Source organism: Homo sapiens, chromosome 5 (genome assembly GCF_000001405.40).
Source record: "Homo sapiens chromosome 5, GRCh38.p14 Primary Assembly".
In the NCBI taxonomy this organism is placed as follows: Eukaryota; Metazoa; Chordata; class Mammalia; order Primates; family Hominidae; genus Homo; species Homo sapiens.
Window position 1 is genome coordinate 94120599 of NC_000005.10, and position 15329 is coordinate 94135927.

The 15329-nt window shown below is 39.4% G+C and overlaps 1 long non-coding RNA gene across 5 annotated transcripts in view; it reads left to right on the plus strand.

The window, feature by feature from the left end:
• The window catches only part of LOC105379087 (uncharacterized), a 140268-nt gene that overhangs the window by 9007 nt on the left and 115932 nt on the right, over window positions 1-15329 (plus strand). Inside the window, exon 4 of one of the 5 annotated variants that reach the window (XR_948582.2) lies at window positions 8235-8352. The exons of the other annotated variants lie outside the window; for them this stretch is intronic. This is a non-coding gene — a long non-coding RNA (uncharacterized LOC105379087). Of the gene's footprint in view, window positions 1-8234; window positions 8353-15329 lie in introns of those variants that run through there. 5 annotated transcript variants of the gene reach the window in all.

Below are 15329 nucleotides of genomic sequence, written 5' to 3' on the forward strand. Positions count from 1 at the left end.
CCATATCTTTTGTGGAAGATAAAATTCAACCCACAACACTGAAGTATAATTATTTTTGAAAAAGGAGAGAATCAAATCTAGTAGAAAGAAAGAAGAAGCAAACCAGCCAGCAGAATGAGGTTGTGTGAAGTAAGCCACCAGAAGAGGAGATCCATGGGAATTGTGAGATGCTGACTGGGACATTCACCCCATGTACTAGAGAATGTCAGTGTTAGAGTTCCTGAATTTTGGATGAATCTCCAAAATTATACTAAAGTGCCTAATGACAGCACCGGTATTTGGGCATTTGCTACAGAGAGGACAACAATTCCAATTTATAATAGCCTTTTTCTCCCACCTCTGAGCCGACCCCAAAGGACCTCAAAGTAATAGGATTAGTGTAGGACAAGGGGAAGTAAAAGGTAGAGGAACTGAGACAAAACAAATCATGGGCCAGGCCCAGTGGCTTACACCTGTTATCCCAGCACTTTGGGAGGCCAAGGCGGGAGCATCACTTGAGCCCAGGAGTTCAAGATCAGCCTGGGCAACATAGAGTCTCTACAAAAATTAAAAAAAAAAAAATCAAAAAAATTATTAGCTGGATATGGTGGCACATGCCTATGGTCCCAGCTACTTGAGAGGCTGAGATGGGAGGATCGTTTGGGCCCTGGAGCACAAGGCTGCAGTGAGCCCTGATTGTGCCACTGCACCCCAGCTTGTGCAACAGAGGGAAACCCTATCTCAAAAAAAAAAAAAAAAAAGAAAGAAAGAAAGAGAGAAAAGAAAAGAGAGATGATGTCCCCTTCTTTCCAGCATACTTGTGGGTCAGACCTATGCTGGGAAAGGGACACTTTAAAGTAATTGGAAGTTTCCAATCCAGCTCACGTAAAGAGCCTGGAGCTTGGAAGTTTGTCACGCTCATCTTCACAAGACAAAAGCTGAGCAAACTGAAAATCAACAAGTATTCTTAGATCTGTCAGAGAATTAATGTCACAAGGCAAACTTCTGCCCTCAAAACTAGACAGACCAGTGGTATATTAGACCATTCTTGCATTGCTATAAAGAAATACCTGAGACTCGGTAATGTATAAAGAAAAGAGGGTTAATCGGCTCATGGTTCTGCAGGCTTTACAGGAAGCATAGTGCTAGCATCTAATTGACTTCTAGAGAGGCTTCAGGAAGTTTACAATCATGGCCGATGGTGAAATGGGGAGCAGGCACATCACATGGCAAAAGCAGGAGCAATAGAGAGTGGTGGTGGAAGGTGATAACACACTATTAAATGACCAGATGTCATGAGAACTCACTGTCACAAGGACAGCACCAAGCGATGAAGGATCTGCCCCCATGATCCAAACATCTCCCACAAAGTCCTACCCCCAGGATTGCAGATTATAATTCAACATGAAGTAAGGGCAGGGGCAAATATCCAAACTATATCATTCTGCCCCGGCCCCTCCCAGATCTCATGTCCTTCTTACTTTGCAGAATACAATCATGCCTTCCCAACAGTGCCCCCAAAATCTTAACTCATTTCAACATTAACTCAAAAGTCTCAAGTCTTGGCAGGCGTGGTGGCTCGTGCCTGTAATCCCAGTATATTGAGAGGCCAAGGCAGGTGTATCACTTGAGGTCAGGAGTTCAAGACAAGCCTGGCCAACATGGTGAAAACCCATCTCTACTAAAAATACAAAAATTAGCTGAGTATGGTGGTGTACACCCGTGATCTCAGCTACTTGGGAGGCTAAGGCAGGAGAATCACTTGAAGCCTGGAAGCAGAGGTTACAGTGAGCTGAGATCATGCCACTGCACTCCAGCTACCCCACCCCCCACAAAAAAGTCTCAAGTCTCATCTGAGACAAGGCAAATCCCTCCCACCTATGAGCCTGCAAAATAAAAAACAAGTGAGTTACTTCCAAGATACAATGGAGGTATAGGTATTGGGTAACATTCCCACTCCAAAAGGGAGAAATCAGCCCAAAGAAAGGGGCTATAGGCCCCATGCAAGTTCAAACCCAGCAGGCAGTCATTAAATCTTAAAGTTCCAAAATAGTTTTCTTTGACTCCATGTTTTGCATCTAGAGTACAACGGATGGGCTCCCAAGTCTTGGGCAGCTCCACCCCTGTGGCTTTGCCGGGTTCAGCCCCCAGGGCTGCTCTCATGGTTTGGAGTTGAATGCCTGCAGTTTATCCAGGTGCAAGGTGCAAGCTGACAGTGGATCTACCATTCTGGGGTCTGGAAGAGGATGACCCCTTTCTCACAGCTTTATTAGGCAGTCCCCGCTTAGGGACTCTGTGTGGGAGCTCCAACCCCATATTACTCCTTGGCACTGCTCTAGTAGAGGTTCTCTGTGAGGGCTCTGCTCCAGAAGCAGGCTTCTGCCTGGGCACCCAGGCTTTCTCATACATCTGAAATGTAGGTGGAAGCTGCCAAGTGTACTTCACTCTTGCATTCTGTGCATCTATAAGCTTAACACCACATGGAAGCCAGCAAGGCTTATGGCTTGCATTCTCCAAAGTGGCAGCTAGAGCTGTACCTAGGTCCTTTTGAGCTGAGGCTGGAGCAGGAGTGGCTGAGATGCAGGTAAAGGTGTCCCAAGGCTGTGCAGGGCAGCGGGGCCCTGGCCCATGAAAACATTAGGTTCTCATAGGCCTCAGGGCCTGTGATAAATGGGGCTGCCAGGGAGGTCTCTGACATGCCTTCAAGGCCTTTTCTCCATTGTCTTTGATGTTAGCACTTGGCTTCCTTTTAGTAATACAAATATATCTAGCAAGTTGTTGCTCAACAGCCTGCTTGAATTCCTCTCCTGAAAAAGCTTTTCCTTTCTCTGCCACATGGCCAGGCTGCAAATTTTTCAAAATCTTATGCTCTGCTTCTCTTTTAAATATAAGTTCCAACTTATTTCTTTGCTTTCACATCTGAGCTAGGCTATTAAAAGCAGCCACACCTCTTGTTAAACGCATTGCTACTTAGAAATTTCTTCTGCCAGATACCCTAAATTATCACTCTTTAGTTCAAACCTCCACTGATCCCTAGGCATGAACACAATGCCTCCAAGCTCTTTGCTAAGTTATAACACATGTGACCTTTGCTGCAGTTCCCAATAAGTTCCTCATTTCCATCTGAGACCTTGCTAGCCTAGACTTCACTGTCCATATCACTGTCAGCATTTTGGTCACAACCATTTAACCTGTCTCTAAAAAGTATTAAACTTTCCCTCATCTTTCTGTCTTCTTTTGAGCCTTCCAAATTCTTCCAACCTCTGCTCATTACTCAGTTCCAAAGTTGCTACCACATTTCAGGTATCTTTATGGCAATTCCCTGGACTCCTCAGTACCCATTTTCTGTATTAGGGCATTCTTGCATTGCTATAAAGAAATAACTGAGACTGGGTAGTTTATTTATTTATTTTTTTAAGAGAGAGGTTTAATTGGTTCATGGTTCGGCAGGCTTTATCGGAATCATGGTGCCAGCATCTGCTCAGCTTTGAGGGAGGCTTCAGGAAGCTTACAGTCATGGTGGACGGCAAAGAGGGAGCAGGCATATCACATGGCAAAAGCAGCAGCAAGCAAGGGGAGGGGGAGATGCCACATAGTTTTAAATGACCAGATCTCGCAAGAACTTACTATCACAAAGCACCAAGCCATGAGGGATCCACCCCCATGATCCAAACTGGTTCCAAAAGGACCCACCTCCAGCATTGGGAATTACAATTCAACATGAGATTTGGACGGGGACAAATATTCAAACTACATCAGGTAGATACAGAGAGCCACAGCTTACTAGAAGCAAAAGCCAGGAAATTGAACGACCATCTGTAGGGACCCTTTAAACTGTAATTGACAAATTACTGGAGGCTCACAGTGAACTAGCTTCAGAGTTAAAAACTCTAAGGCATCTAGTGTTTGTGAGTTTTCTCTCTAAGCACCCTAACAGGTTCCCACTATAAGGATCAGAGAATAGTCACTGATGGTGGGAGGGAAAAATAACTATTTAAAAATATGCCCAGAGCTCTCTGTTTTTCTTGACAAGGTATGCCCTTAAGGGAAACTATTTTATCAGAGCCTGACTGGGGGCTTATCAGAGGCTTACCAACATAGAGGAACAGAAATACTCAATTCCAGCTCTTTCTAACCTTCAAAGTAGGAGGGGGGAGGTGGACAACATGCAAAGACAGTAGGGAATTGTCTGCCCTTGAAGAAGAGGGATGGAAACTAAGAAATCATAAAAAAGACATGCTAGAGATAAAAAAAACACAGTAACAGAAATGAAGAATGCTTTTGATAGGCTCATAAGTAGACTGGACACAGCCAAGAGAATAATCTCTGAGTTTGAAGCTATGTCAATAGAAATTTCTGAAACTCAAATGCAAAGAGAAAAAAGAATTAAAAAGATGGAACAGAATATCAAAGAATTATGGGACAATTATTAATACGAAAAGTGTGGCCAGGTGCTGTAGCTCATGCCTGTAATCACAGCACTTTGGGAGGCCAAGGCAGGCACTTGAACCCCAGAGGTGGAGGTTGCAGTGAGCTGAGATCGCACCATTGCACTCCAGCCCAGGCCACAGTGTGAGACCCTGACTCAAAAACAAAACAAAACAAACAAACAAAAAAAGTGTAACCTATGCATAATAGGAATACCAAAAGGAGAAGAAACTGAAAAAGTAACAGAGAAACTATTTGAATTAATAATGGCTGAGAATTTTCCAAAGTTAATGACAGATACAAACCTACAAATCCAGGAATTGCAGAACACACCAAACAGGATAAATACCAAAAAATGTAGACATGGGCATATCATATTCAAAGTTCAGGAAATCAAAGACAAAAATATTTTTGAAAGAAGCCAGAGGAAGGAAACTCACCTTACCTATGGAGGAAAAAGCATAAGAATTACATTGAATTTATCTTCAGAAACCGTGCAAGAAGAGGGCAGAGTGAAATATTTAAAGTTTTAAAAGAAAAATCTACCAACCTAGAGTTCTGTATCCAGTGAAATTATCCTTTAAAAGTGGAAAAATAAAGACATTCTCAGACAAAAAAATAATTGAGGAAATTTGTCACCAGAAGACCTACCTTGCAAGAAATGTTAAAAGAAATTTTTCAGAGAAATGGAAAGATACAAGTCAGAAACTCATATCTACGTGGAAAAAGGGAGTTAGAGAAGAACAAATGAAGAAAAGGTAAAATCTTTTATTTTTCTTATTCTTATTCTAACAGATAACAGTCTATTCAAAATAATAATAATAGCAACAGTGTATTTGGATTATAGCTTATTGTTAAGTAAAATTAATCACAGCAATGTTAAAAGTGATGGGAGAGGGGAATTTGAAATACTTTTATAAGGTATTTACACTACTATGAAACAATACGGTTTTATTTAAAAGTGGACTTGGATTAATCGTGAATGTATATTGCAAATTCTAGGGCCGCCACTATAAAAAGCTTAAAAAAAGGTCTAATTTTCATGCTAAGAGAGAATTGAAACTGGAATGATATAAAATGCTCATTTAAATTATACAAGGCATAAAAGAGTAGAAGAAAGAGAGACACAGGGAGGGAGAGGGAAGGAAAAAGCAGAGAGAGAGGATAGAAGGGAGAGAGAAAAGAAAGAAATAGAAAAGAAAGGAGGGAAAGAAGGAAGGAATGGACTGACGCTGGTAGTGACTAGAAAACAGTTCACGTGATTTAGATCATATTAAACTTTTTTGTTTTTTTTTGTTTGTTTGTTTGTTTTTTTTGTCTCGCTCTGTCGCCCAGGCTGGAGTGCAGTGGCGGGATCTCGGCTCACTGCAAGCTCCGCCTCCCGGGTTCACGCCATTCTCCTGCCTCAGCCTCCCAAGTAGCTGGGACTACAGGCGCCTGCCACTACGCCCGGCTAATTTTTTGTATTTTTAGTAGAGACGGGGTTTCACCGTTTTAGCCGGGATGGTCTCGATCTCCTGACCTCGTGATCCGCCCGCCTCGGCCTCCCAAAGTGCTGGGATTACAGGCGTGAGCCACCGCACCCGGCCTAAACTTTTAAATAACTGAAAATGAAACATTCCAAGACAGCCTAATGTGACCACAAAAGCATTAATGCGTACCTAAGGTTTAATTCTGGGATAGGGAAAAATATCTGACAAAGCAAGTTTGGAGTGTCCTTGTAGCAAAACAATTAGGCTTTCTATATAGCTAGTCCCCCATTCAAGTGCTGCACATTCAATATATGAGTTACATCCATGTATATATATGAAAGAAACTAAAATTCAAAACATTACATGAAATAATTATGTAAATATCATGTTTTCAAGATTGGAATGGTATTTTTATACCATTGGATAATTGGAATATCAAGACAGTAATTTTTCAATCCCTTCTGGGTACTTCTTTTCTTCTGATATTATTAATGTGTCCCTTCATTGTGTGTCGCAAGTCTGAGCTTACCTACTCCTAGTTCTCCACAAACTTCCATAATTACAAAATTACCATTACTCTTCTTTATTCTAATCCCCTTGTAAACTTTAATATCTGTATTTTTGGCAATCTGATTATTCCCAAATATCTTCAGAAACTTATTCCACCTCCCAGTATTTATTGCAACAATATATTAGATGTTGAATATGGTCAAATAGCTTTTAAGACACCATGTTCTTATAATGAGCCTTCTTCTTAAACACACAGACACACACACACACACACACACACACCCACACATGCTACACTACATTGCTGTAATAAATCAGCAGTAAATAGAACTACGTGATGAGTCCTGAGAGTCCTTCTATCTAATCCCTGAATGTCAGGGTAGTCTTGGAGACCCTCTACACCGTTACTCATTCTCAAGAGAAAAGACAAAGAGTGAAGACTGACCACAAGATAATCCAAAGTTTGTATCATCAGTCAGGACTTTAAAGAGTTATTATAACTATGCTCAGTGACTTAAAGAAAAGTATGTTCATACTGAATAAAAATAGAGTAAATCTGCTGAGACATAAAAACTATAATAAAGAAAACCAAATGGAAATTCTGTTAAAATATCTGATATTGAAAAAAATCCACTGGATGGGATTAACAGCAGAGAGGAGATTGCAGAGGAAAGAATCAGTGAATTTAGGGATAAACCAAAAAATATTATACCTATGCACATCATAGCAAACTTCTCAGAAGCAACAACAAAGAGAAAATCTTGAAAGCAGCCAGAATAAAATGACACATTCACATACAGGAACAGTGATACAGACGATCACTATCTTTTCATCAGAAACAGTGAAGGCCAGAAGAGAGTGGACCATCTTTAAAGTGCTGGAAAAAAAAGGCTATCCAGAATTCTGTGTCTGATAAAATATCCTTCAAGAATAAGGAAATAAACATTTTCAGGTAAAAGAATAATTACAGAACTCATCATGAGCATATCTGTACTACAAGAAATGCTAATGGAAAAGGAAATAACATCAGATGGAAATTCAGATCTTTACGAAGTAGGGGCATACAAAATTAAAAATATCTCAGTAAATACTAAAGATTATTTTTTCTCAATTATTTTGAAATACATACAACAGTTTAAAACAAAACATTGTCTATTGGGGTTTATTATATCTCTTGACAGAATACATATGAAAGCTATATCATAAAATGCAGGGTATGGTGAGTAGTAAATGGACCTATACAGTCTATAAAAATTTGAGTATGTATGTTTTAATACCTAGAGCAAGCACTAAAAAATGCAAAGACATATAGCTAAAAAGCCAAAAGATAAACCAAACTGTATAAGAATGTTCATAGCGGCCTTATTCATAATAACACCAAACTCTAAATAGCCCAGGTGTCCAACAAATAGGGCATACACAAATTTTGGTACCTTCCTGCAATAAGAATACCACTTAGCAATAGAAAAAAACAAAGTAACAGAATGGGTGAATTTCAAAACATGATGCTGAATGAAGACTTACACAAAAAAGTACACATTGTATCATTTCATTTATATGAAGTATTAGAACAGCCAAAACTAATTGATGGTGGGAAAGTAGAGCAAAAACACCAAGACTAGAGTGTGCCTAACATATTCAAGGAGTTATGAGGAGGCCAGTGGAGCTGAAGAATAGAAAGCAGACGAGAGTAGTGGAAGAGCTCATCATAGAGGAAAAAGGGATTGGTCAAAGGGAAGGACCAGATCTTGTGGGTCATTGTTAAGACTTTTTACTCTGAATGAAATGGGGTCTTTTGGGGGGCTTTGAATAGAGGAGAGACATGATCTGATTTACATTTTTCAGGGATCATATAGCTGCTCCAAGAATGGACTGTAGGGGGTCAGTAAAGGAAAAGGGAGACAATTGGGAGACTATTACATTTATCCACATGAATGATGAAGATGGCTTGAATGTACAAAGAGCTCAGAATGGTGCCTGGTACTCAGTAGATTTTATCTGCTGATGTTATTTAAATTCCAAATAATCAGGTTAGTTTTTAGTCATTGAATGTTTAAAAATATTCAGATATTATAATTTTAATTTTCAAGAAATATTTATTTTATGATTGCTTATTTTCCATGCTGGAATGCTACTTTATGTTTGCAATATTTTCACAAATTTATCTTTTCTTTTGTTTCCTGAATTATCTCTTTCCTCCAAAGTTGGTTATTCTGTTTATTATTATACTTTTCTTTCATTTTCTTGGTTTTCTGCAAGTGTCTAGTAATCCTAGGTTTTCTGCTCACATTTTTATAAAATGGGTATGTTGATTAGTTTATTCATAATTAGAATGCTTTTGCTTCTGATACTTTATTATAAAAATTTACAAGCATACAGGAAGTTAAAAAAATAGTGCAGTGAACACATGTATCTCTATCACCTAGATGCTACTGTCAACATTTCATGATATACTTGCTTTATCACTTATCCATCTATCTATTCATCCCTCTCTCTAGCCATTAATTTGTCTTTTTAAAAATACATTTCAAAGTAAATCATGACTGACTCTTCCTGTCATTGTATAAGTGGAGGTATGTTATCTGAACAGGAGGAAAGAACATGGGTCTTGGTCAGCAGATCAGGCTTTTCAGTAGTCACAATTCCCTTTAGGATATAGGGGTGGAAAATAGACAGGCAAGCCATGGTCTCCCGTGTCCAACAGAATAATTTTATTTTTGGGAAGGACAGTGTCACTCCTGGTATACCTTTCCTCCTCTCATCTGCCTCCCGCCTTTATATCTTTTTCAAAGGCACTGTGTAACCTCAAGGTAGTCTGCAACATTTCTCTCTTATATCATGTATTTGTTAAGAGGTTAAAATTTAGCAGTTTGTAATAGAACACTCCAAATAACAGCAGCTTAAACAAGACAGGAGTTATTTCTTATGAGTGTACGTACTCCAGACTAGTTTTATGGCTCCACAATCATCAATGGCCCAGATTTCTACTTTTTTGTTGTTCTGTCAAACTTAGTATGTGCCATCAACATCTGGCCCAGCGTGACTGCTCCAGCTCCAGCCGATAGGCTCACATTCCAGTCAGAAGGAAGAGGAAAATTTTCCTTTAAGAATTTCTCAGAAGTTGTTAACACCACTTTTGTTTACATCTTAGTGGTCACTTGCTTCACAATGGAGATAAATTCTGAGAAGTGCAAAATTAGGTAATTTTGTCATTGTGTGAACATCATATAGTTATGCAAACCTAGAGGGTATAGTCTACTACACACCTAGGTTATGTGGTACAGCCTATTACTCATAGGCTACAAGCCTGCGCAGCATGTGACTGTACTGAATACTGTAGGTAATTGTAACACAATGGTATTTGTGTAACTAAACACATCTAAACATAGAGAGGGTTCAGTAAAAATAAGGCATTATAATCTTATGGGACCATTGTTGTATATATGTTTTGTTGGTGACTGAAATATCATTATGTGGTACATGACTATACTTAGATATACAGTCACACTTAGCTACCATGCTACTAAGTACTGGGAATTGGGATTGATTCTGGGTGACCATGTGCTTCACAAAAACAATGAGAATGGATGTTGAGGGTACAATGGGCAGTCTTTGCTTTAGGCCTCAATACCCACATGATTTCCCAGAAGTCATTTCCCAGGTGGATTAGCATCTTTCTATAGGGACTCACTCTCAGCATGCTACCCTGGGGCAAAAGATTCCAGCCACACTACATCCAAGCTCAGCAGAAACAGTTGTTTCTGTTCAGTCGACCATCTTGAACCAGAAGCTTCCTTATGTGATTTTCAAAGTTCTGTGGAACTGCTTCAGATATTTGATAAGAAAGCAAATTTATACCATGTAAATAGCCTTCTTAACCTTTATATCTGGCTTGTATTTTGGGTTTCCTGGAATAATAATTCATCTGAAGAAAGGATTACCCTCCTCTGCAGATAGCAAATGCTTCCTGACTGGCAACTGTCAGCAAACTCTGCCTTTCCTCCCTGCAGTCCTGGGTCCACTGTGGACCCAGTTCAACTGCAGTGACCCATTGACTTCATTCCTGTTGTTATTCTGAAGACTTCCTGGCACATCAGCAGTTACCTGCATAAAGAAAAACCTTCTCAAGCCTTTTTTTTTTCCCATTTGGCTTCAGTGATAACCAATTCAGCTTGTAGATGTTATTGCCTAAGGTAAAACATCTTGAGCCTATGTAATTCTTAGCTGTATCTGTGCTTACTAGGACAGAGCCAAACACAGTATACAGTACAACACAATTGAGTTTGCAGTAACTTTATCTTTTTAAAAATTTTCTTATATTTATTTTATTTTTTTTTTAGAGACAGGGTCTCACTCTGTCTCCCAGACTGGAGTACAGTGGCACAATCATAGCTCACTGCAACCTCGCACTCCTGGGGTCAAGTGATCCTCTCACCTTAGCCTCCGAAAGTGCTGGAATTACAGGTGTGCACCACTACACCCAGTCACCAGTAACTTTATTTTTTGTAACTGATTTCATCTTGTTCCGTAGTTCTCATTTGCACTGATGGCAGATTTTTTAAAAATCCCTAACTTTATCAACTGAAGCTAATCTTTTCCAGTTTTAAATTATTGATTTCTGCCAAATGTTAATACAATGGCCAAACTGTTAATGAGGAATATGTATCACCTGACATTTGACCCTCTTCTACCTCTTGTTTCCTGAGGTAGTTTTAGTTGTAGGGGAAACTTTAATATCCTCATGGAGCTGGGACAAGAGGCCTCTATCCATGTGCTGACCTCTTGGTTCCTGTTGGACTTCACTGAGATGACGTTCATCCTGCTGGTTACTGGGAATCTTAGTAGGGTCTACTGAAATATGGCTTGGTCAGTCTCATCTGGTCTTTTGGTCATTGTCCTAGTATTCCTCAGTACTGTCTGGCAACACTGTCATTTATTGTGAGATATGAGGTTAGTTTTGTCTATGATTTTTTTTTAATGACTTAGTCCTGGGACCGAGAAACTCAGAGATAGAATACTTTCAACAATACATTGCAACTGTGTTCAAGGTGCATTATTCATTCTTTTTTAACATTTTATTTTTATTTTTATTTCAATAGGGTTTTGGGGAACAGGTGGTGTTTGGTTACATGAATAAGCTCTTTTTTTTTTAAATTATACTTTAAGTTCTAGAGTACATGTGCACAACGTGCAGGTTTGTTACATAGTTATACATGTGCCATGTTGGTTTGCTGCACCCATCAACTCATCATTTACGTTAGGCATTTCTCCTAATGCTATCCCTCCCTCAGCTCCCCACCCCCTGACAGGCCCTGGTGTGTGATGTTCCCAGCCCTGTGTCCAAGTGTTCTCATTGTTCAATTCCCATCTATGAATGAGAACATGCAGTGTTTGGTTTTCTGTCCTTGTGATAGTTTGCTGAGAATGATGGTTTCCAGCTTCATCCATGTCCCTGCAAAGGACATGAACTCATCCTTTTTTATGGCTGCATAGTATTCCATGGTGTATATGTGCCACATTTTCTTCATTTTCTTTTCTTTTCTTCTTTTTTTTTTTTTTGAGACAGAGTCTCACTCTGTTGCCCAGGCTGGAGTGCAGTGGCGCGATCTCAGCTCACTGCAAGCTCCGCCTCCCAGGCTCACGCCATTCTCCTGCCTCAGACTCCGGAGTAGCTGGGACTACAGGCGCCCGCCACCATGTGCAGAGAATTTTTTGTATTTTTAGTGGAGATGGGGTTTCACCGTGTTAGCCAGGATGGTCTCGATCTCCTGACCTCGTGATCCACCCACCTCGGCCTCCCAAAGTGCTGGGATTACAGGCGTGAGCCACCATGCCCGGCCTATGTGCCACATATTCTTAATCCAGTCTATCATTTATGGACATTTGGGTTGGTTCCAAATTCTTTACTATTGTGAATAGTGCCATAATAAACATACTTGTGCATATGTCTTTATAGTAGCATGATTTATAATCCTTTGGGTATATACCCAGTAATGGGATGGCTGGGTCAAATGATATTTCTAGTTCTAGATCCTTGAGGAATCGCCACACTGTCTTCCACAATGGTTGAACTAATTTACACTCCCACCAAAAGTATAAAAGCGTTCCCATTTCTCCACATCCTCTCCAGCATCTGTTGTTTCCTGACTTTTTAATTATTTCCATTCTAACTGGCGTGAGATACTGTCTCATTGTGGTTTTGATTTGCATTTCTCTGATGACCAGTGATGATAAGCATATTTTCATGTGTCTGTTGGCTGCATAAATGTCTTGTTTGATAAGTGTCTGTTCATAAGTCTTTGCCCACTTTTTGATGGGGTCATTTGTTTTTTTCTTGTAAATTTGTTTAAGTTCTTTGTAGATTCTGGATATTAGCCCTTTGTCAGATGGGTAGATTGCAAAAATTTTCTCCCATTCTGTAGGTTGCCTGTTCATTCTGATGGTAGTTTCTTTTGCTGTGCAGAAGCTCTTTAGTTTAATTAGACCCCATTTGTCTATTTTGGCTTTTTTTGCCATTGCTTTCGGTGTTTTAGTCATGAAGTCCTTGTGCATGCCTATGTCCTGAATGGTATTGCTTAGGTTTTCTTCTAGGGTTTTTATGGTTTTAGGTCTAACATTTAAGTATTTAATCCATCTTGAATTAATTTTTGTATAAGGTGTATGGAAGGGAACCAGTTCGGCTTTCTACATATGGCTAGCCAGTTTTCCCAGCACCATTTATTAAATAGGGAATCCTTTCCCCATTTCTTGTTTTTGTCATGTTTGTCAAAAATCAGATGGTTTCTAAATGTGTGGTGTTATTTCTGAGGGCTCTGTTCTGTTCCATTTGTCTATATATCTGTTTTGATACCAGTACCATGCTGTTTTGGTTACTGTAGCCTTGCAGTATAGTTTGAAGTCAGGTAGCATGATGCCTCCAGCTTTACTCTTTTTGCTTAGGATTGTCTTGGCAATGCAGGCTCTTTTTTGGTTCCATATGAACTTTAAGGTAGTTTTCTCCAATTCTGTGAAGAAAGTCATTGGTAGCTTGATGGGGATGGCATTGAATCTATAAACTATCTTGGGCAGTATGGCCATTTTCATGATATTGATTCTTCCTATCCATGAGCATGGAATGTTCTTCCATTTGTTTGTGTCTTCTTTTATTTTGTTGAGCAGTAGTTTGTAGTTCTCCTTGAAGAGGTCCTTCACATCCCTTGTAAGTTGTATTCCCAGGTATTTTATTCTCTTTGAAGCAATTGTGAATGGGAGTTCACTCATGATTTGGTTCTCTGTTTGTCTGTTATTGGTGTATAGGAATGCTTACAATGTTTGCACATTGATTTTGTATCCTGAGACTTTGCTGAAGTTGCTTATCAGCTTAAGGAGATTTTGGGCTGAGACAATGGAGTTTTCTAAATATACAATCATGTCATCAGCAAACAGGGAAAATTTGACTTCCTCTTTTCCTAACTGAATACCTTTTATTTCTTTCTCTTGCCTATTGCTCTGGCCAGAACTTCCAACACTATGTTGAATAGGAGGAGTGAGAGAAGTATCCCTGTCTTATGCCAGTTTTCAAAGGGAATACTTCCAGTTTTTGCCCATCCAGTATGATATTGGCTGTGGGTCTGTCATAAATAACTCTTATTATTTTGAGATACGTTCCATCAATACCTAGTTTATTGAGAGTTTTTAGCATGAAGGGCTGTTGAATTTTGTCGAAGGCCTTTTCTGCATCTATTGAGAGAAATGTGGATTTTGTCATTGGTTTTGTATATGTAATGGATTACGTTTATTGATTTGCGTATGTTGAACCAGTCTTTCATCCCAGGGATGAAGCTGACTTGATCGTGGTGGATAAGCTTTTTGATGTGCTGCTGGATTCGGTTTGCCAGTATTTTATTGAGGATTTTCACACCGATATTCATCAGGGATATTGGTTTAAAATTCTTTTTTGTTGTGTCTCTGCCAGGCTTTGGTATCTGGATGATGCTGGCCTCATAAAATGAGTTAGGGAGGATTCCCTCTTTTTCTATTGATTGGAATAGTTTCAGAAGGAATGGTACCAGCTCCTGTTTGTACCTCTTGTAGAATTTGGCTGTGAATCTGTCTGGTCCTGGACTTTTTTTGGTTGGTAGGGTATTACTGCCTCAATTTCAGGGCCTATTATTGGTCTATTCAGAGATTCAACTTCTTGTTTTAGTCTTGGGAGGGTGTATGTGTCCAGGAATTTATCCATTTCTTCTAGATTTTCTACTTTATTTGCATAGAGGTGTTTATAGTATTCTCTGATGGTAGTTTGTATTTCAGTGGGATTGGTGGTGATATCCCCTTTATCATTTTTTATTGCATCTATTTGATTCTTCTATCTTTTCTTCTTTATTAGTCTTGCTAGCAGTCTATCAATTTTGTTGATCTTTTCAAAAAATCAGTTCCTGGATTCATTGATTTTTTGAAGGGTGTTTTGTGTCTTGATCTCCTTCAGTTCTGCTCTGATCTTAGCTATTTCTCGTCTTCTGCTAGCTTTTGAATTTGTTTGCTCTTGCTTCTTTAGTTCTTTTAATTGTGATGTTAGGGTGTCGATTTTAGATCTTGCCTGCTTTCTCTTGTGGGTATTTAGTGCCATAAATTTCCCTCTACACACTGCTTTCAATGTGTCCCAGAGATTCTGGTATGTTGTGTCTTTGTTCTCATTGTTTCAAAGAACATCTTTATATATGCCTTCATTTCGTTGTTTACCCAGTAGTCTTTCAGGGGCAGGTTGTTCATTTTCCATGTAGTTGTGCGGTTTTGAGTGAGTTTCTTAATCCTGAGTTCTAGTTTGATTGCACTGTGGTCTGAGATACAGTTTATTGTGATTTCTGTTCTTTCACATTTGCTGAGGAGTGCTTTACTTCCAACTATGTGGTCAGTTTTAGAATAAGTGCGATGTGGTGCTGAGAAGAATGTATATTCTGG